The sequence below is a fragment of the Homo sapiens genome, chromosome 2 (assembly GCF_000001405.40).
Source record: "Homo sapiens chromosome 2, GRCh38.p14 Primary Assembly".
NCBI lineage: Eukaryota > Metazoa > Chordata > Mammalia > Primates > Hominidae > Homo > Homo sapiens.
In genome coordinates, this window is record NC_000002.12 from 74,318,337 (window position 1) to 74,341,316 (window position 22,980).

The 22,980-nt window shown below is 42.9% G+C and overlaps 1 protein-coding gene and 1 pseudogene across 1 annotated transcript in view, besides 2 other annotated features; one reads left to right on the plus strand and one right to left on the minus strand.

The window, feature by feature from the left end:
- SLC4A5 (solute carrier family 4 member 5) overlaps nucleotides 1–22,980 on the minus strand; it is a 127,175-nt gene that overhangs the window by 102,095 nt on the left and 2,100 nt on the right. The window contains exons 3-5 of the mRNA NM_133478.3: nucleotides 20,519–20,567; nucleotides 15,691–15,841; nucleotides 9,784–9,850 (exon numbers count right to left, since the gene is read on the minus strand). The gene's annotated coding sequence lies outside the window, so the exon portion shown is untranslated. The remainder of the gene's footprint in view (nucleotides 1–9,783; nucleotides 9,851–15,690; nucleotides 15,842–20,518; nucleotides 20,568–22,980) is intronic.
- On the plus strand, nucleotides 1,063–1,165 carry RNU6-542P (RNA, U6 small nuclear 542, pseudogene; annotated as a pseudogene).
- Nucleotides 15,019–15,108: a silencer, noted in NCBI's record as "silent region_11657". NCBI's record gives its function as "represses an Ori minimal core promoter by ATAC-STARR-seq in GM12878 lymphoblastoid cells {active_cell/tissue: GM12878}" and the evidence as "EXISTENCE:reporter gene assay evidence [ECO:0000049][PMID:35858748]".
- Nucleotides 16,611–16,800: an enhancer, noted in NCBI's record as "active region_16053". NCBI's record gives its function as "activates an Ori minimal core promoter by ATAC-STARR-seq in GM12878 lymphoblastoid cells {active_cell/tissue: GM12878}" and the evidence as "EXISTENCE:reporter gene assay evidence [ECO:0000049][PMID:35858748]".

The window sequence follows — 22,980 nt, forward strand, 5'->3', positions numbered from 1 at the left end:
TGCAAATTAAAACCACAATGAGATACCATCTTACACCAGCCAGAATGGCTATTATTAAAAAGTCTAGGCCTGGCGAGGTGGCTCATGCCTGTAATCCCAGCACTTTGGGAGGCAGAGGTGGGGGGGATGGCCTGAGGTCAGGAGTTCAAGACCAGCTTGGCTAACATGGTGAAACCCCGTATCTACTAAAAATACAAAAATTAGCCAGGTGTGGTGGTGCATGCCTGTAATCCCAGATACTCAGGAGGCTGAGGCACAAGAATCACTTGAACCCAGAAGGCAGAGGTTGCAGACCGAGATTGTGCCACTGCACTCCAGCCTGGGCGACAGAGTGAGACTCTGTCTCACAAAAAAAAAAAAAAGTGTCCAAAAATAACAGATGTTGGCGAGGCCGCAGAGAAAACATGCACTGTCGGTGGGAATGTAAATTAGTACAACCTTTATGGAAAACAGTATGGAGGATTCTCAAAGAACTAAAAATAAAACTACCATTTGATTCAGCAATCCCACTGCTGGTATATGCCCAAAGGAAAAGAATCATTATATTAAAAAAGATACCAGCACTTGTATGTTTATTGCAGCACTATTCACAATAGCAAAGATATGGAATCAACCTAAGTGTAATCAATGGAGGATTGGATAAGGAAATGTAATATATACATTACATTATATATATATAATGGAATGCTAATCAGTCATAGAAAATGAAATCATGTCTTTTGCATCAACATGGATGAAACTGGAGGCCATTACCCTCAGTGAAATAACTCAGAAACAGAAAGACAAATTCTGTATGTTCTCACTTATAAGTGGGAGCTAACAATTCGTACACATGGACATGTAGAGTGAAATAACAGACACTGGAGACTCCAAAAGGTAGGAGGGTAGGAAGGGGGTGAGGGTTGAAAAGTGACCTATTGCTACACTGTTCACTATTCGGGTGATGAGTACACTAAACTCAAACTTCACCACAATGAAATATATGCATGTAAGAAACCTGAATTTGTACTCCCTAAATATATATTTTAAAACATTTAGGTTCTTTAAAAAACTATGTAGCTGGTGCTCGCTTTAGTAGCACATATACTAAAACTGGAATAATAAAAGATAAGCATGACCCCTGTACAAAGATTACAAAACAAAGACAAAAACAAAGATAGTTAATATCTTCAAGGAGATTGTCATAGGTTTGTTTAATATAGTTGCTTTCTTGGCATCCAGTTTTTGGCCTGACATAAGTTGTTTGAAACCCAATTAGTTGTACTCCTTTGGCCTAGTTAAAACTTCCCCTCCCTATATGATTGTTTGCAATATAGTGCATTCTCTCTCTTTTTCTCTCTCTCTCTCTCCCCATTCACTGATTGAACATCCTACTGCGTCTTGACTTCCCATCAGCCACCCCTAACCTCTTTGAGATCTGTAAATAATAAATTTCTTCTGTTTTATGCATTTTGGTTTCATTTGGTCTCACCTGACCATCTAAACCTTACTCTCCTCCTGGTTAGAGCTCTCCTAGAAAGTGGCTATCTTGGTTTCTGGCTACTCTCCAGAGACAGCTCTCAAGACCAAATTAGAGGAAATCACAACAGAGACAAGAAAAGACATTGTATTCATGACGACAAGAAAAGCAGAATGCTATAAACCTATGAACCTATAAGTTTTTAAAGAATAAGACAGAACTTTTCGAAATTAAAAATACCTTAGAAGAAAATTTTCAATAAAAGACTTGGAACATAAATTTGAAGGAGTATATCAGATAATAGAACACAAATAAAAAGAGATTAAACAAATACTATGACAAAACAAGAAAACCAGAGGATCAATCCAGGAGGCCCAAACATCAAAATAATAGGAGTTCCCAAAAGAGAGATAAAAAAATAGTGGAGAGAAAATTACCAATGAAATAACATGAGAATACCTTCCAGAACTGAAAGATCTGGAAGAATTTTCTGATTGAAAGAACTTTCGATCAGCTCAGAAAAAATTAATTTTTAAAAAATCCACTCCAAGTCACATCATTATGAAGCATTAGGACTTCATGGATAAAGAAATCTTAAAAGCTTCCAGAAAAAAATAAGTCATCTACCAAGAATCTGAAACAAGAATTGATATCAGATTTCTCAATCACTACAGTGGAAGCTACAAGACAATGAAGTCATGCTTCCAAAAGTGAGACAAAATTATTTCCAACCTAGAATTCCAGTCCCAATCAAGCTATCAATCAAGTGGGAGGGTAGAATAGGGGCATTTTCAGACATAAACTATCTCAAAAATTTACCTTCGATGCACCTTTTTTTCAGGAAGTGACTGAAGGAGGAACTCTAGCAAGATGAAGGACTTGCACTAAGAAAGAAATTAAGTCTGGGAAACGGGATTCACCACAAAAGATAGGCAAAGGAAAGTCACCGGAGAAGAACCCTGCAGCAGTCCAGAGAGCAACAGGCACATCTTAGAGCAGGCTCTGGACAGGATGTCTTCAGGAAAAAAACCTGGATCTGAAAAATGGTCTTGATGTGTTTGACTGTTGCAAGAGGATACAAAAACTTTGTCAAGAATAGTCATAGAAAGGAAAAGTAATCATGGTACACTATACTCAACTGTGAGCAATATTTACACAGTCATAATAAATCAAGTGAGTGTTAATTTTCCTGAAAACAGCAATAGAAACAGGGTTGATATTCCACCGATACGCATTGGTATGGCTGCTATTTATGATTGGTGTCCATTTTTAGTGATCAGGTATTCATTTGGGTTGGTCAATGTCAGTGCCATGTTGGTTGTTAAATATTTTGAATATCACCACTGGATGTAACTATTTGGGGAGTATAAAACACCTGTGGAGGATGCTGCTAGTTACTTCCCTGATGCCCATTCCCCTTTCTGCTCTGACTTTCTGACTTCTGCTCCAGCCACAGTAGCACTATGGCCAACTAAAAAGAAACACTTCCCTCAGACACCCTTCAGCTCTCTCTGGCTGAAGAGCTACAGGAGAAAGAACCTGAGGAAGGAGTCCCTTCCTAGATAAAGCATTTTCAGAAGAAAGCCTCTTCACTTTTCCTTCTTCTTCCTTCCTGGATAGAGTTGCCAGGTTTAGCAAATGAAACTACAGTTTGCCCAGTTAAATTTGAATTTCAGATAACAACAAATAACTTTGAGTATATGTTCAGCACAATATTTGGGATATACTTCTACTAAAAATTATGTGTTGACAAAGGTGACCCAGATGTGGTTACTGAAAACCACACCTGGGTCATCTGACAAAGGACTCTGGGAAAGTAAGTTTTTACTGGGAAAATAATATTGAGTCTGTCAGTAAGGGAAAAAGGGAGAATGCGCATTGGGTAGTCATCTAGCATGTCTCCTACACTGTCCAACAACCATTCCCTCTTCTGCTTGCCTATTTACAAAACTTTATTTTGTTCAGGTAGAGACACAGGGCCCTTGATTGCCAGTAGTCACCTTCCCTAGGCTCAGGCATGAGCTGGGATCTATATAAACCATTCACGGTATTCTGGTTGCCCTTAGCCAGTCACTGAGTTTAGGAATAGTCATGTGACCCTATTCTAGCCAATGAGATTTAGGTGGAAGTCCATTGGGTAAGACTTTCAGGAAAGCTTTTATTTTCCTAATTGAAAGTGACACAGTTGGAATGCACAGTTTGTCCTTTACCCTCCTGCTTTCTTGCACGGACCTTGAGACTTTGAGATAAAGCAGCCATCTTGCAACAATGAGGTGACAGGTATGAAGACCAAAGGCACAGGCTAAGAACAAGGCAGAAGGATAAGACAAATCTGGGTTCCTGAGAATATCACTGAGCTCTGGACTGCTTATTGCTGGATTTCCTGTTATCTGAAAAAAAAAAAAAATCTCTATATTTAAACTGCTAGCCAAGTTTTATGTTACTTTTAGCTGAGGCCTTCCTAACTGACACATAATGGATGACTATGGACAGTTGAAATTAATGAACTAGATTTTTATGTATTAACATGTATAAATCTCAAAAACATAATGAGAACAAAAGGAAGTTGTAAAAGAAAATGATATTATTTACATAAAACTTTAAAACAAACAAAACACTACCAATATTGATTATAGTTACATTTATAAGTAATAAAATCATAAAATTATGTAGAGGAATGATACACACCAACTTCAGGTTACTTCTGGGGAAGGATAAGGTTAATGATGCTTGATGATCTTTGGTATTTTGGATAGATGATAGATATACATGTAGATATGAAACGAATATGATAAAATGTTAACATCTGTTAATTCTGGACAGTAATATATCAATATTTGTCATATTGTACACATTTGAGGTATTTTATTATTAAATTTTTAAAAGTATTTTTAAAAATAACTAAGAGGTCTCCCCAACACTATGAGATAATAGTCTCAGGCAAAATGGGTCAACTGAGCACTCTGCACAGAAAATATCTGGGAAAAAAACTCCTCACACTTTGCTAGATCATTATGAAATTTTAGAACAGTGACTATGAAGAAAAGAAAGATCCCAAAAACTTCTAGAGTAAAACAATCAGAAACAGGTCACCTGTCAATGAATAGAAATCAGACTAGCAGAAGACTCCTCCTCAGCAAGTTAAATAAGAGAAGATAATGGGCAGGGTGCGGTGTCTCACACCTGTAATCCCAGCACTTTGGGAGGCTAAGGCGGGTGGATCACCTGAGGTCAGGAGTTCAAGACCAGCCTGGCCAACATGGTGAATCCCCGTCTCTTATTAAAAATACAAAACTTAGCCGGGTGTGGTGGCACATGCTTGTAATCCCAGCTACTTGGGAGGCTGAGACACGACAATCATTTGAACCCAGGAGGTGGAGGTTGCAGTGAGCTGAGATTGTGCCACTGCATTCCACCTAGGTGACAGAGTGAGACTCTGTCTCAAAAAAAAGAGAGAGAGAAGATAATGAGCAAAGCCACCCAAAATCCAAGGGAGAATGTTTCCAACCTAACATTCTCCACCCAGCCAAACTACCAGTCCAGAGTAGGGGTAGAAGACATTTCCAGACATGTAAAAAATCATTTTACTTCTCTTTCATAACTTCCTAGGAAGTTCTTTAAAAAAGTTACCCATCATTAATCAAGAAGGAGAAGACAATGAGATGCAGGAGAGAGTGGATAAAATCAGAATAATGAAGAGCAGTCCCCAGATGACAGCTGTGTCCTCAAAAATCAATCAGTCCTCAAAAGAGCTAGAAAATGAGGCTTTGGAACGAGCCACTCAGGGAAAAAATGAAATGTAAAAGATTTGATACACTCTTGGGGATTTTAGAACAACTCAAGAAAGTGACAGAAAATGCAAAGAAAAAAGACAGCAATGAGAAATACCAGGGAAAAATTAAAACTCTGCAAGGAATAAAATGTGATCATGGCATGTAATCATGAGTATAAACACTGATTTTTGAATGAACTAAAAATGGTGATGATATTCTACATTGGGAGGATAAAAAAGAGATGTCTGTGGTTGTAAGATAGTTAAATATTCACTTGTAAGTGGCTAATATCTAACTTCAATAAATAGCAGGAATAATTATTACTATCATTATTATTAAAAGGTAGCCAGGAGAAAAAGCTAAAAGAATTCCTAGTGGTTATCTTTGGGAAGTGGAACTGTGGCATATGGAGGAAGCTGGAATGGAGTTCCATTGCTTTTTATGGAAAGCTCTTACATGTGTTAATTGATTTTTAAATTATAGCTTTTTTATTTTAAACGTTTTAAAGTAAATAATTTAATATGCCATGTGTTCCTACTTTATGTGATAATTGTATCCTTGAAAATTAATGGTTAAATCTATTTGTTCAAAGTGAATCATGTTTAAAATACTTAGCAGAATTACACAACAAAGAACCCTTTAAGGCAGTGGTTCTCAAACTTGAGCGTGCATCATAATACCTAGAAGGCTGCTTTCTGTTTGTTTTCTTGGAGTTGGGGTCTCGCTTTGTCGCCCAGGCTGGAGTTCAATGGCGCAATCACAGCTTACTGCAGCCTCCAACCTCTGGGCTCAAGCAATCCTTCCATCTCAGTCTCCAAAGTAGGTGGGATTACACGTGTGAGCAGCTCCAGAAAGCTTGTTAAAATAGATTGCTGGGTCTCATCCCCAGAGTGCCTGATTCCATAGCTCTAGGTTGGGGCCTGGAAATGTACATTTCCAACAAGTTCCCAGTTGCTGCTGATGATGCTGATCCAGGGACCACATTTAAAACCTCTATTTTAAGAAAGTAACTCCCAATTTATATTTTTTATTAAATTGGGTCAGTTGGTGATTTTTAAAAAGCTGATATCTTCCTACTCCAGTATGGTGTGAAGAGTACAGAGAAGCTGAGTAACAGATTTTTTTTCCCATAGACAACCACCTTCAAATGTCTTAGGGGGAGACTCCATGTCTCCCCAAGCCTCTGAAGGAAAGGCCATGTGACCCAGGCTGGTCAAACACACCCCATTCCAGCCACAGAGACTGGTTCAGGAATGATCCCATGTCCTTAACTGGGCCAATCAGAATTCTTCCCAGGACATTTCTGCTTGATTCATCCAAAAACTCTGCTCACTCTGGCACTGCTAAGCTGATAAGCTTGGAAGTTACTATTTTGCCTGTCACATGGAGGGAAGCATTCAAGAAAAGTAGAGAAACAGAGTCCAGATAACACTGTGACTCCCTGAGTCAGTTAATTTTGAACTGTCCTTCTCAGTTGTGTTGAGCTGTTAAATTCACTTTATTTTTTCTCATGTTTGAGTTGGGCTTCTCATGTTTGCAATCACAAGTGCCTGACTAATGAAAATGAAATAGAGCTTTCCAACATGATTTTAAAATGTGTTATTTCCTATTTGAAGTACTATGGATTCTCAGATTGGAAAAGAAAGTTTGTTGGAAAAATAATGAAATGCCTGCTTGTCACTGACAAATGACAATACATATGCAAACACAGATGAGAACTCTACAAACTATAGAAGTATGGAGCTATAATGTAGCTATAATATTCAGGTAGATGCATACCTTCCAGTTCTGGACTAGCTAAGACCATTCCTGCTTCATGTCCTCTGTGCTAGATCCCAACTTCTCACAACTTGAGAGAAGCTCCCTCCCAGGAATATGCAGAAGTAGAAGAACCCAAACTCCCTGAGATGATCTTCAAAGGAGTCCATCCATCTGAAGCTGAGTGTTGGCCCTGGGGAAGTGTTTGGATTAGCTCTGCTCTGACTGGCAACTATACTGCCCACCATAAAAGTCCCAGCCTAATTCATGCAACAGAATTTCTACCTCCAGCATTTCATATAATGTGTATTAGTTGAATGTCAGGTATTTTGCTTTCATCATCTTATTGAATCCTCACTATAATTCAGTGAGGTATATAATTTTCACCCACATTTTATAGATGAGTAAATGAAGACTAAGAGTTAAGTGATTTGTCCTGGATCACAGAACCAGCCATGGTGGAGCCAGGGTTCAAACTGGATTCTTTTTGATTCTCAAACCTAAGGAAAGAAGGAAGAAGGAAGGGAAGGGAGGGGAGGGGAGGGGGAAAGGGGAAGGGGAAGGGGAAGGGAAGGGGAAAGGAAAGGAAAGGAAAGGAGGGGAGGAGGAAGGGAGAAGGAAGGGAGAAGGAAGGAGGGAGAAAGACGAAAGAGAAATAAAGATGTGAGAAACAGAGGGGGCCTGGTATGGGTTACTGACAGTCTTCCACTTCTGGGTTCCAGGCCCTTCCTGAGGCCTGGCTGAACTCCGGTCCACAAGACTTCCCTGGTATTATAATAAGTCCCTCCTTGGTAAAAAGGCATTTGATGTTTAAAAAAATAAAAAAATTTTAAAAACCCTCTTTTCTCTTCAACTAGCTTCAGCTGATTTGAGTTACTTGTATCCAAAGAGTACTAACCAGTACAATCATCCACTACAATATCTTGCCAAAGGAATTGTGCTAGCAACACATCAGCCTCTGGCATGCAGCAAATGAAAGGACCTGTAACACCAGTCTCTTCCCTGCCCAACTAGCTCACTGTTATTCCCCCATCCATCTTTAGATCATAGATCGCCTTGGTGTTGAGCATGGCTTTACAGTAAGGGAACACACAAAATTCTCTTCTGTCCTGAGTCAAAAGTCACTTTCCATTTCATTGCCCCTACCACTAGCCTGAAATCACATCTGGGATCCCTGAGAATCCAAAACCCTACTGACAAAATCAACACCTGGGCCACGTGCAGTGGCTCACGCCTGTAATCCCAGCACTTTGGGAGGACGAGGCGGGCAGATCACGAGGTCAGGAGTTCGATTCCAGCATGGCCAACATGGTGAAACCCTGTCTCTACTAAAAATACAAAAATTAGCCGAGTGTGGTGGTGCACGCCTGTAATCCTAGCTACTCGGGAGGCTGAGGCACAGCAATTGCTTGAATCCAGGAGGCAGAGGTTGCAGTGAGCTGAGATGGCACCACTGCACTCAAAAACAAAAACAAACAAACAAACAAAACACCTTAAGCCTGTAAGACCAAGGATCAGAGTGCTATCCTAGCAAACAGACACACAGGGGTCCTTGCCCAAGCAGACTGCATGCCCAAAGCAGCAAGGTGGTGGTGACACAGCTAGCTTTAAAGATGTATGACACGTTTTAGTCATCAGAGCCCTTGTGATAGAATCATCTGGTGTTTAGGTGCCCACCCCTTCCCTATCCACAAGGACACATCAATTCAATCCAACAAATCCTTATTGAGTATCCACTTTGTTCCAGATATTTGCACTAGACACTGGGAACAGAACAAAATAGTTTCATTACTAGGGAAGAAGAGTAAAGCATAGTAATGAATCCTTAAGATTAGACATCCATGTCTCTGGGAAAAAAGGTAACTAGTAAAAAGGTTGTGCCACATTCACTGGTCAGCTTTTGGGGAGCTTTTCTTTCCACCCCATATTTTAAGCCACTTGACCTTGATATCTAAGAACTCTAGACCAGCCAACATGGTGTCTGATGCACCCTTCTGACAGCCCAGAGTATTTCAGAAAAGGACTTCCCCAAGGGCTTATCTGGGATTATTTTGTGAACTGAATCGACAAGAATGACACGGGGTCATGCTGGGCTTTAGAAAGCTAAGCTAGAAGCCAGGGAAAGGCTACCCTCTCAACCCCTAGCTTGTCCATTGCCTCGGGGCCCTGCAGACTGAAACACCCACGCATGCTCCAGGAGAGAAAGGACAAAACAAACAAATATCCCTAAGAAAACTAGCAGTAGCAAAACCAGGTACCGTATCCAAAACCTAAAAACAAAAATGTGTAATGAAAGGAGACTAGCCATTATTCTGTTTCTATCCTGAGATGCTACATTAGCAGATATAATTTATTTTCCCATGGTTTTCTGGGAAAGAGGTAAGTCTCAGGGTTTTTGCTACTTCATAAGTATTTCAGCCAGTCTAACACATTTGACAAAGACAACAGAAATTTACGTACTAGAAGAGAAAGATTCAGTTCTATTAGATGAGAACAAGATAGAACTAACTTACCATGGTGTCAGACAGAACAAGTTTCCTGTCATTTCTGTTAATTTGGAGTGGTTTTGCACCCAAAAACCTCAAGGCCAGGGTGATAAAAACAGTATAATTTTTAAAGGAAAACCAAATATCCTATACTCATTTGGAAGATTTGCCCAGCTTTCCTGGTATTCTCCTCTTCAGTGTGTGTGAAGCTTACTCTTAAATACTCTGTGTTCATGCTATGAAACACATTTTCCCTTATCTGCATAGCTCTGTCTACTTTCTCTGAAGCTTCCAGCTGCAAACTTACCTTTGTGTTCTTAGCTCTGGAAACCAGGATCCAAATCCCAGGGAGGCCAGAACCACTTGCTCTGTTCCTGTTGGGTGGCAAGAAGGGCTCTCTGTGGTTTCCAGGCTGAACAGTATTTGGGGCATTGGAGATTGACTTCTGAGGCTCAGTGGCGGCCAGCCATGTGACCAAGGTGGGGGGAGGGACGCTCCTGCAGGGTCAGGGATGGATGCCTGGTTGACTGACAGACCAGGGTATAGCAGGGTCTGAATAGAGCTGGCCATGATCATAGGCAGATGCCTTTGCTCTAAATTTCTTCTTGAATTTTAACTTGGTGATCTTTTTATGGCAGTGGTATATTCCAGCCTTGATTCTGAAATGCTATTTTATCTCCCTGCATAGTTTTTAACCCAGATTCTTTTTGGATTCTGTCTTGGAGGGATGTTAGAGCTGGAAGAGAACTTGAAGAATCCAGCCTTATCTCAAGGTTGCCCACTTTATATAATGAAAAATTGAGGCCCAGAGAGGGGCAGTGGCATTTCCAGGAACCTACAGATACGTGGGCCTGTTGTTATGTACTGGCATGACCCCAGTTGGCTCAAAATTACAGCTCACTTTAATGTCTCCAACTTTTAAGTTGTTAGAGCTTTGAGGACTGCTGAGATGTTGATAAAGGATCTTATCACATTGCAAGTACCTAAATGTTCAGCTGTCAGATTAGGGCATGGCTTGGAAATAGTGGCAGTCTGTACTTGTGGTCAATGAGTTTACATAAACATGTGTACTTATTTTTAGGCATCTCTAACCCAATCTTTGTAAAATGCTCCAAGGTGACCTTTTCGGAGAGATCAGGTGACACCAAAAGCTAGAGACATTTTTTTTTTAACCTCAAAGACCTTGAAGACCTCTCTAGACTACAGCCATGCAGGTAGGCTCCTAGTTCACACCTGTCACTCCAGCCAAAAGGATGGCTGCTGGCTCTCTGCTGACAAAAGGAGAGGTGGTAGGAATGATGGAGAAAATGATAGAGGCAGAGGTGTTGGTTGTAGAAGTAGCAGTAAAACGGTGGCAATGTAGATGAAGGTGTAAAGTGTAGGTGAAGTTATGAAGTACAGATGCAGGTGATGAGGTATAAATGGAGATGTGGGGTATAGATAGAGGTGTGAGGTGTAGATGGAGGTAATGAAATGTAGATAAAGATAGTAAATTGGCCGGGTGTGGTGGCTCACGCCCGTAATCCCAGCACTTTGGGAGGCTGAGGCGGGCAGATCACCTGAGTTCAGGAGTTCGAGACCAGCCTGACCAACATGGAGAAACCCCATCTCCACTAAAAATACAAAATTAGCCAGATGTGGTGGTACATGCCTGTAATCCCAGCTACTCAGGAGGCTGAGGCAGGAGAATTGCTTGAACCCAGGAGGCGGAGGTTGCAGTGAGCCAAGATAGTGCCACTGCACTCCAGCCTGGGCAACACGGCGAGGCTCCATCTCAAACAAACAAACAAACAAACAAACAAACATGGTGAGGTGTAGATGGAGGTGGTGTGAGGTGTAAATGGAGGTGTGAGGTGTAGACAGAGATGATGAGGTTCATGTAGAGAGAGGTGGTGAGATGTATATGGTGGTATGGGGTATAGATGGAGGTTCTGAGGTATTGACGGTGGTGTAAGGTGGAGATGGTGAGGTGTATATGGAAGTGATCAGATGTAGATGGAAGTGTGAGGTGTAGATGGGGGGTGAAGTGTAGATGGAAATGTGATATGTGAATGGAGGTGGTGAGGTTTACATGGAAGTGATGAGATGTAGATGGAGGTGGTAAGTTGTAGACAGAGGTGTGAGGTGGAGATGGAGATGGTGAGGTAGTGTATGGTGGTGTGAAGTATAGATGGAGGTATGAGGTATACATGGTGATGAGGTGTGGACAAGGGTGGTGAGGTGTAGATGGTGATGGTGAGGTATAGAAGGAGGTGTGTGGCGTAGGTATAGGTGGTGAGAGATAGGTGAGGGTGGTGAGGTGTAGATGGTGGTCGTGAGGTGTAGATGGAGGTGGTGATATCTAGATGGAGGTAGCGAGGTCTAGATGGAGGTGTGTGATATAGGTGTAGGTGATGAGGTATAGGTGAGGGTGGTGAGGTGTAGATGGTGATGGTGATGTCTAGATGGAGGTGATGAGGTCTAGATGGAGGAGTGTGGTGTAGGTGTAGGTGGTGAGGTATAGGTGAGGGTGGTGAGGTCTAGATGGTGGTGAGGTCTAGATGGAGATGTGTGGTTTAGGTGTAGGTGGTGAGATACAGGTGAGGGTGGTGAGGTGTAGATGGTGGTGGTGAGGTCTAGATGGAGATGTGTGGTTTAGGTGTAGGTGGTGAGATATAGGTGAGGGTGGTGAGGTGTAGATGGTGGTGGTGAGGTCTAGATGGAGGTGGTGAGGTCTAGATGGAGGTGTATGGTGTAAGTGTAGGTGGTGAGGTATAGGTGAGGTTGGTGAGGTATAGATGGTGGTGGTGAGGTCTAGATGGAGGTGGTGATGTCAGATGGAGGTGGTGAGGTCTAGATGGGGGTGGTGAGGTCTAGATGGAGGTGTGTGGTTTAGGTGTAGGTGGTGAGGTATAGGTGAGGGTGGTGAGGTCTAGATGGTGGTGGCAGTGAGGTCTATATGGAGGTGCTGATGTCTACATGGAGGTGGTGAGGTCTAGATGGAGGCAGTGAGGTCTAGATGGAGGCGGTGAGGTCTAGATGGAGGTGTATGGTGTAGGTGTAGGTGGTGAGGTATAGGAGGTGGTGAGGTCTAGATGTGGGTGGTGAGGTCTAGATGGAGGTGTGTGGTTTAGGTGTAGGTGGTGAGTTATAGGTGAGGGTGGTGAGGTGTAGATGGTGGTGGTGAGGTCTAGATGGAGGTGGTGATGTCTAGAAGGAGGTGGTGAGGTCTAGATGGAGGTGTGTGGTTTAGGTGTAGGTGGTGAGGTATAGGTGAGGGTGGTGAGGTGTAGATGGTGATAGTGACGTATAGATGGTGGTGGTGAGGTGTAGATGGAGGAGGTGAGGTCTAGATGGACGTGGTGAGGTCTAAATGGAGGTAGTGAGGTCTAGATGGAGGTGTGTGGTTTAGGTGTGGGTGGTGAGGTATAGGTGAGGGTGGTGAGGTCTAGATGGTGGTGGTGAGGTCTAGATGGAGGTGGTAATGTCTAGATGGAGGTGGTGACGTCTAGATGGAGGTGTGTGGTTTAGGTGTAGGTGGTGAGGTATAGGTGAGGGTAGTGAGGTGTAGATGGTAGTGGTGAGGTGTGGATGAGGGTGTGATGTGTAGATAGAGGTGGCAAGGTGTAGATGGAGGATGTGGAGGCAGTGATAGTGATGAAGGAAGGAGTTAGAAGGCCTTGTGCATGAAGAAATAGAAGATTGTTGTTGCTATTATGCTGATAAATGTGGAAGAACCTGTCCTCCTTTGATTACACATGTGAAATGGTGAAATTTCACCATTAGGAGTCTGGAGACCCTTATTCTTTCAGAGCCATGGTACCTTTGGGAAATCACCTCTCTGGGCCTCAGTGTTCTTGGAGCAGAGTTTGCTCTATTAAATGGCATTTGTCAGGGGGAAATCTACCTCTCTCCCTCCAAGCACTTTTGCCTCACCTTATAAAGTGGGAACTTCTGTCCTTGCTGCAGCCTTGAGAAAAGTACTCTCCACTTACTGCTCTACCTCTAAACTCATGCTATCTAGCAGAGGATGAGTGGTTCGTGTGCTTGGAGAATTGGAGCACATAAAATGGGCATATGTCATGACTCAGGTTCTTCTGGATTTCCTCCTTCTGGGAACAGCCTCCTCAGAGAAGGCCTGTGCTTCCCTCCTCTCCTCTTCTTTTCAACCTGCCCTAGGAAGGGCAGGTTCTTGCGTTGTGGGATAGGGGAGTCTTCCAGTTCTGGGTAGATAAGTTTCATTCTGAGGGAAAGAATTAGGAAGCCCAACTGTACATTCAAAACCACATTCTCCAATCAGCTTTAGCTGTCATAAATTTATTTTAGTTCCAGCTGCTGGACTTCTATATCTTATTTCTCATTTGATTCTAAGCACAGAGGGGTTGTGAACAAGTCTCATTCTCAAAGTCCAGCACTGAAGAATTAGTAAAAGAGTCCACATAGACTGGGTTGGACTCAAGGATCTCTTAAGTTTCTTTGAAACTCTACTGCCCTACGATTCTATGTGTCTAAGTGAAATTATCGCTGAAGCAAAATAAACATACATTGACAGTTCTGGTCAGATGTTGGGACTCTTAATGGATAACTTCCCAAGCTCTGACTCCCTTCTTTCCTGCTTTTCAACTGCATGAAGACCTTTGATCTTCAGGCATCTTCCTCTTCTCCCCATATACCAGCTCCTCATGGCTTCATTTACTTCCCCTTCTGGTCTGGACATCATAATGAATCCTTTCCTCTCTTCTCTCATTGATACTCATAACCTCTTATTCCTGCCCTGCCAATCTCTTGGGCAAAATCAGTCCATTCGTTAACTTTTTCCTCCTGCACAAAGTACTCTTTTGTCTCTGGAAAAAGCCTGTCTTCAGTGGGAGAGAGAAAAGCCAATACACAGAATGGCAGAGGGGTGTCCATTTGTGTGTGTGTGTGTGTGTGTGCGTGTGTGTGCGCATGTATGTGCATGAAAGAGAGAGAGAGATGAGGAGGGAGAGAAAGACCTAGTCCTGTGATGTGTATGGCCAACCTCATCCCTGCCCTTCCCTGTGGTTTAGTTTTGTAAGCCAAAAAATGTTGAGAGAAGATATGGCTACCCCTTTTCTCTCTGCTCCCTGTCCTCTGGCCTCCTTCCATGTTACAGCCAAGGACATGCCAAGCCAGCCACTCAGCTGTGGCACTGAAGTAAATGCTTGGGGGATACTGTCAACTCTTCCTCACCACCAGAGTGGTAACAGCTGAGGCTCATGCACTGGTCTTGGGGAAAGGGAAAGAACTGGCCCCAGTGTTCCTCAGCCACAGGTGTCTTCCCCTGGGCACATCTGGCAATGTCTGGATCTATTTTGGTTATACTGGAGGGAAGGTCACTACTGGAGGGAGAGTACTTCTGGCCTCTAGTGGGTAGTGGTCAGAAATGCTGCTAACGTCCTACAAGGATGGCCCCCACAACAAAAAAATTATCTGACCCCAACTATCAATGGTGCCATGATCAAGAAATCCTGGATTAGGGCATTCAGTCTCTGGTTCTAGGCTCTCACTCAGGCAAAAGGAGCACTCAACATAGGCCCACCTCACTCGCCAGGGATCTGCCAGGAGAGGGAGCTAAAGATTCTTAGTACAGTTGGCCCTCTATATCCACAGGTTCCTAACCCAAGGAGTCAACAAACAGCAGATCAAAAATATTTGAAAAAATAAAAATAAATAACAATACAACAATAAAAAATAATACTCCCAAAATACAGTATAAAAAACTATTTACATAGCATTTACATTGTATTAGGTATTCGAAGTAATCTAGAGATGATTTAAGATAAACAGAGGATTGCATAGGTCACATTTTATGTGAAGGACTTGAGCATCTTCAGATTATGATATCTACGGGTGGTCCTGGCACCAATCCCTTGCAGATGCTGAGGGATGACTGTTTGACCTCTGTGCCTCCATTTTCTTCAGATACCTGGTGGACAGTGATGGCTGCTCACTGGGACGGATTCCCTTCCATCTCCTGGCTAAATGCCATCTGAACCCTACCTGGGTTTGACATCTGAAAGGATTTAGGTAGGTCTGACCTAGGACCATGGCATGGGGGCAAAATTCTTTGAAGAAAATAGCAGCTTCCTACCCTGGAAAGGCCTGCGGGACTTAGGCCCTTGTTAATGGGACTAAGGATTCATTTGGGGGCCCTGGCAGGCTTATCTAGAACCTTTACCCACAAGAAGTTCCCCACAGGCTGGGCAGTACTCACCACAGTATGTGCAATTTTTGGCTTCCAGATTGTTTGTGCCAAGCTTTGGCAGGTGGTACAATATTGGCTGCCCCAGATTCTTGTCTGCTTTAGCTGTTTCTGAACCATGTCCAGGGTTGAGAAGGGAACATACTGTGATGGTGTCAGCACTCTGCAGGAAGGTGAAAAAAGGTGAGAGATATGTTAAAGAGAAGCTGAGACATTGTAAGAGGCCAAGCCCAGGTGATGCTGTGGAGGAGTTCTCTTTCTTCACCACCCCTATCTACTTCCCAATCGCTGCTGTGGCCTATGGACTCGGCTCACTCTACAGCAGCCACGACGCAAGTCTTGCTGTTCCTCTAACACCCCAGGCTCATTCCCACCTCAGGACCTTTGCACTTACTGTTTCCCTAATCTTCAGCCTGACTTGCTACCTCGTGTATTCAACTATTTGGTCAAATGCCATCTACCCAAGAAAACCTTCCCTGACCAGCCCATCTAAAATGCCCCTCTCTGGTCATTAACTCTGCTTTATTTGTCTAAATGGCATTTCTATCCAAAACCACAGTATGTGTTTATTCATTTGTTCACTTTTTGTCTGTTCCTCCAATATGGCAGAAAGTTTGTCTTATTCACTGATGTATCTCTGATACCTAGAATAGAGCCTGGCTCATAAATGATTGGGTCCAAATCCTGACTCAACTAACTGTGGCATCTTGGACAACTTCTTTTTTTTTTCACTGCAATTTCCTCAACTGAAAAAAAATGCGAATAATAATTATATCTACCTCAATGGTTATCTGAATCAATGTGAAACCTTAGGTCAATGTCTGGCCCACAGGGAATAGTTAGTATTAACTAATAATATTATTATAATTATTACACCCTCAGGAAGAAGCTCACATGTGTATCCTGAGGAGGCGGGGAGGGGGATGAGCAGTATTCCTAGCAGCTTGCAGGAGCAGAGAGTCTTTTTTGCTTCTCCAGGAACCAAGTCCTGTTCTCCCGTCTTGCCTGCTCTCTGCTGCCCTCTGGAGGTCTGCAGTGGAGTCAGGCAGGGAGCTGATTCAGGGACGCCACAGATTATGTATCCTCCACTTCCTATGGGATAGCTGCTATCATTCCCATTTTACAGATGAGGAAACCACTTCTCACAGTTGTAAGTAACTTGCCCAAAGTCATGTGATCTCCTGCTCTTAATCACATGATGAAGAATGAGACATTGCTGGATGACAGTCTCTCTACTTAAGCAAGCTAGAGCCCACGGAGGCATCTTGGGCCTTGGCAGAGCTGCCACTGGAGCCATCATTTGGCACACACTATTGGGAATCATTGAGGCCACAGAGGAAATGTGGGTACCTAGGAACTCGTTCTTCAGACAGATCCCCAAATGGACCCAGAAACAGCATGCAGCCAAGCAAGGGCTGGCCCCTTCCTTCCCCTCTCCCCAGGCTGTACTTCCTTAGCCAAAGGACAGTTCTCTGATCACCTCAGCCAACCTGAGCTACCCTGGAAAGCTACTTCTCACCCTGTGCCCCTGTGCCTCTCTCTCAGAGCGTATGTCACTGGCTGGGCCAAATGATCTTCATGTCAACCTAAAATAAGAGGGCTATGGAAAGACATAGCCTCTAGAGACATCTGGGAGCTGATTAACTAATAAGAACCTGGAGACACCAGCACTGTCTGATCAAAAGATACAATGGAGGAAAAGATTTCATTTTCAATAAAAACAAAAACCCTAAAACATCTAGAAATAAACTCGCCTAGAAATGCATGTTTTATATGAGGACACGTGGCAAAACTTTGCTAAGAAACACATAATAAGACATCATATTTCTGGATGGGAAAACTGAATAGGGCAAATATGCTTAAGTTCAGACATTTATATATATTTTAAATACAATTCCAAGGGCATTTTGAATGAAAATGACCAAAAAATCATGGCTAAAGTATGAGCTTAGAATGTACTGAGTTTTTACTATGTGCTAGGCTCAGGGCTGACAGCTTTACATACCTTACCTCAATTAATCCTCACAGCAACCTCAAGAGGTCATTTCATTTATTTATTTATTTATTGTGGAGACAGCATTCTCACTCTGTCACCTAGGCTAGAGTGCAGTGGCACTATCACAGCTCACTACAGCCTTGACCTCCCAGGCTCAAGCGATTCTCCTGCCTCAGCCTCCCAAATATCTGGGACTATAGGCAGGTGCCACACCATACCAGGCTACTTTTTAATTTTTTGTAGAGATGAGGTCTCAATATGTTGCCCAGGCTGGTCTTGAACTCCTGGGCTCAAGCAATCCTCCCACCTCAGCCTCCCAAAGTGCTGGGATTACAGGAGTAAGCCACCACGCCTGGCTGAGGTCATTATTAATATTTATGAAAGACAGGTTGGGGAAGTGATTAAGAGCAGGAGATCACATGACTTTGGGCAAGTTACAACTGTGAGAAGTGGTTTCCTCATCTGTAAAATGGGAATGATAGCAGCTATCCCATAGGTTTATGATGAGTATTAAATGAGGTAACATACATGAAACATTGAGAGCAGTGCTTGGCAAGTAGAAGCACTGATATGAACTACTATTATCCTCATTTACAGACGAAAAAACTAAAGCTTAGAGAGGATAACATAATTTGCCCAAGTTCACACAGCTGATAACTGGCTGCCCTGGCCTGGGGGATGGGAATAGGGAGTCTTGCCTACAAGATCTGAAAAATTATAAAATCATAATAGTTAAAACAGGAAGCACATCTTGTATAAGATATTTTTATATGCCTTGCAAGATTATGTTCTGAAATATTAGCCAATGCCTTCTCCAGCCTGATACTCCCCTTACCTCTCTCCCTTCCCTGCCTCAAATAGCCAGGCCATTCTATGCTCATTGCTGCAGGGAAGGTGTGTGAAAACAGAAAGAAGAGGTAAGGAGCCTCTTTCCTTAGGGGAATAGAAGAGACTTCTGGCCTAGACCTAGACCAAAGTGTGGGAGAAAATGGTCATGAGAAAGATCAAGGCATTCCCTGCCCCTCACTCATATCCAAGAATAATTCCCCAGGGCAAGGACAAAGGCTGGAGGGAAGTTGAGAAACATTGACTTTGCTAGGTCCTGGAGGCTGAGGTCCCAATCCCCGCTCCCTGGACTGAGCCCCACAGAGAAAGCAGCATCCCTCACAATCTGTGGATCTGAGAGCAGGGAACAGAACAGCTGCTGGGTGTATCTAGGCCAAGAGGACCCCAGGCAAGCTCCCTGAGTGAGGCTGCTTGAAGAGGTGGAGAGAGACTTTGACCTCCACAATAACCTGCAGGCACCAACGACCCAGGACCAGATGGGACAAGGATAGATGACATGAAGGGCAGGACCCTTTGTAGGTCACTGAGAGTCTAGAACCCTGCACTCCACCCCACCCCAAACCCAAAATGGAAACTGCAAAGGAAACTCAGAACTGACTGGGATTAAGGGTCAGCACCTTTTTAAAGAGCGGGGCTCAAGTACAGATGAAGGAGAATTTTATAAACAAACTAATTTTTTTACACACTTGAGTTTATGGGCCGAAACTGGTATTCTAAAGGATAAAGTTTTAAGAAAATAGTGTTAGGGAAATGCACTGTTTAAAAAATCCATTTAGAAGAGAAGCTTGGGCAGCGGACAAAGGCAGCAACTTAAATCATTCGCAGGGCTCAGCACATATTATTGATCTCTGCTCCGAAATTAAATGTAATTGTTCCTTAAGATTGAGCTTGAATTTGCATCCCGATCTGCCTTGGACAGTAACTATCTGCCCCTGTTGTCTTGGCTTCATAATTAGTTGTGCTCCTTTCATTCTCAAAAGGGTCCCATTTTGAGCAGTAAATTATGTGGTTATTCTGCCTAAGATCTTTAAATGAGAGTGATCCCATGGGTGGGCTGACTCTGAACTAGGTATCGTGAAACAGAAAGTAAGGCTTTCCAGGCAGGTGTGGCTGGAGCCCAGTGGCGCCTGACATGGAGCCTCTGGAGGGCAGAGAACCTCAGCTGGATGGGAAAGGAAGGTAAGGTAAAGGGCAGGTGGGGCATCAAGAGAGGGTCAGGTGCTTGGTAGTTAATAGGACAGTGGCGAGATCAGAGTAGAATGTTTGAATTTAATATTTCAGAGATGGAGCAGCTAAGGATAATGGTGTGGCCCAGGTTTTGACCATAGGCATAGGAGGGAGAAATGGAGGCAAATGGAGGCCTGATTTTGTTTGGGGACAGGAACTGGGCACTGGGGAGACACATGGATGGGGGTTTGTCTCTACTCTTGTACTCTTCAAATTTTGAATCTTGTAACTGTGTTATTTTAAAAATCTACAAGTAAAATTAAAATGCAAATCAGCACCACAATGAAATACCATTTTTTACCTTTCAGATCGGCAGATATCAAGAAATTTTTCAACAGTGAGAGAGGAGGGCAATGGGCCCTCATACATCTACTTGCCAGTGAGATGCAGATAAGCACAGCCTCGATGCAGCCAGTTTGGCTGTATTTATATAACTTTAAAATGGACATACCTGGCCAGGTACAGTGGCTCACGCCTGTAATCCCAGCACTTTGGGAGGCTGAGGTGGGTGGATCACTTGAGGCCAGGAGTTCAAGACCAGTCTGGCCAACATGGTGAAACCCCATGTCTACTAAAAAAATACAAAAGTCAGCCAGGTGTAGTGGCTGTAGTCCCAGCTACTTGGGAAGCTAAGCCATGAGAACTGCTCGAACCCAGTAGGCAGAGGTTGTGGTGAGCCCAGATCGTGCCACTGCACTCCAGCCTAGGTGACAGAGCAAGACTCCATCTCAAAAAAATAAAAATAAAAATAAATAAATAAAATGGACATACCTTTTGGTAGCAGCAACTCTTTATCTGGAAGGTTATCTTACACTCCCACCTGTGGACAAAAACAGAGATGTGGTTTGGGACAGTTACTCACCTCCCTGTGCTTATGTCACAGTTGTAGTGAGAATTAAATATGATACATGGGAAGGATTTTAACAAGGGCCTGGCACATGGTAAGCATTCAGGAAATGCTGGCTGTTATCATCCGAGCATTGTTCACAGTGGCAAAACATTGGAAACAACCTGAATGTCCATGAATAAAGGACTGATTTTAAAAAAGAAAGAAAGAAAAACAAGTTTTGTCTCTACTTTGGAAAACGATGAACCTTTTAAATAGAATGAGGATATTCTTTAAATGGTGCTATGGAATGATTTTTTTAGAAATATTGTTAGGGGAGGGAGAGCATCAGGAAGAACAGCTAATATTTGCTGGGCTTAATATCTAGGTAATGGGATGATCTGTGCAGCAAACCACCATGGCATACATTTACCTATGTAACAAACCTGCACATCTGGCATATGTACCCCTGAACTTAAAATAAAAGTTGAAGAAAAAAATAAATAGATTTTTAAATTTTTAAAAAAGAAATATTGTTAAGTAGGAAAAAGGGAAAGTGTAGAAGAGTGCTTATGGCTGTCATCATGCCTGTGTAGAGGGTGCCTATGGGTACAGTATGGTCTCTCCAGGGAAGAGGTCACAGAAACTGGTTACAGTGATGCTTCCTGGGAGGGGAACTTGGAGGTCGGGGCTCAGGGAACTCTATGACTTCTTGTACCTTTTATATTGTCCACCATACAGAGGTATTCCCTATTCAAGAACAATTAAGTAAATTCCACTTCTGGGTATACACCCAAGAAAACTGAAAACCAGGATTCAAACAGATAGTTATATCCCAATGTGCATATCAGCATTCTTCACAATAGCTAAAAGGTAGAAACAACCTAAATATTCATCAACAGATGGATAAATAAAATGTGGTACATACATACAATCGTGATTCAGCCTTAAAAAGGAATAAAATTCAGACACATGCTACAACATGAATGAACTTAAGGACATCACGCTAAGTGAAATAAGCCAGACACAAAACGACAAATACTGTATGAGTCCACTTATAGAGGTACCTAGAATTGTCAGATTTATAGATACAGAGAGTAGATTAATGGCTACCAGGGCCTGGGGCAGTGAGAAATGGGGAGTTAGTGTTTAATGGGTATAAAGTTTCAGTTGGGAATGATGAAAAAGTTCTGGAAATGGATGGTGGTGATGGTTGTATTACAGAACAATGTGAATATAATTAATGCCACTGAATTGTACATTCAAAAATAGTTAAAATGGTCAATCTTATGCTTATTTTGCCATAAAAGGAAATCATTTTAATAAAAATATTTCTTTATCACTTTGATTGGAGCTATGTTAAATGTAGATTAATCACAAAGAGCTGTGTTGTATGAGCAACAACAAAAAACAGTCCTATCCAAAAAAGCACTTTTGTTCTCCAAATTCTGGCATTTTCTATGCTAGGCAGGCCTGCTCTGCTTTGCTGGCTGGCTTTTTGGGGGTTCATGTTACTGAGCAGCGATGAAAGGCTGAACCAGGACCAGGGGAAGAGGGTAGCTTCATCCAAGATGGAGGAGAAATGGGCAGGAAAGAGATGATGGGTGGGGGCAGAAGCAGAGAAATTCCCATGGGGCCATGAGGATGAGATAAATGGGGTGGGTGTAGGAAAGGAATTTCCTACAGGGGTGGAAAAAGCTGGCCTTTGAGGGGAGTAACAGAGGAGTTACAGCAAGAATCTGTAAAAGAATCACCATGTTCCACTGGTGAGCTGGAGATCACAAACGTATAGTTTTCATATTCTTCTCACCTCTTCTCTTCCAGGCAACAACCCTGACGGGGTTGAGGACCCTGGTTAGCTAAATAAGTGAGGAAGAGTGGAAACCAGGGACTCCCCATCCAGACCACCATCCACCACGGGCCTCTGTTCTTTAGCAGCACCAGAAGAGGCTCCACTCCAAGTCAAGATTGAAGTGGTATCTTTAGGTAGGACTGGAAATTATAATTATTAAAATGAGACTGAGACCAAGGGTGGCTGGAACAACCTTGTGACTTGCCTAAATTCCATTCAGGGGCAAAGCAAGAGCTAGTCCCACCGAATAAATGTAAAAGAGGCTGGGTGCAGTGGCTCACGCCTGTAATCTCAACACTTTGGGAGGCCGAGGTGGGTGGATCGCCTGAGGTCAGGAGTTCGAGACCAGCCTGGTCAACATGGTGAAACCCCATCTCTACTAAAAATACAAAAATTAGTTGGGCGTGGTGGTGGGTGCCTACAACCACAGCTACTCAGGAGGCTGAGGCAGGAGAATCGCTTGAACTCAGGAGGTGGAGGTTGCAGCGAGCCAATTATTGTGCCACTGCACTCCAGCCTAGCGACAGAGCGAGACTCCATCTCAAAAAAAAAAAA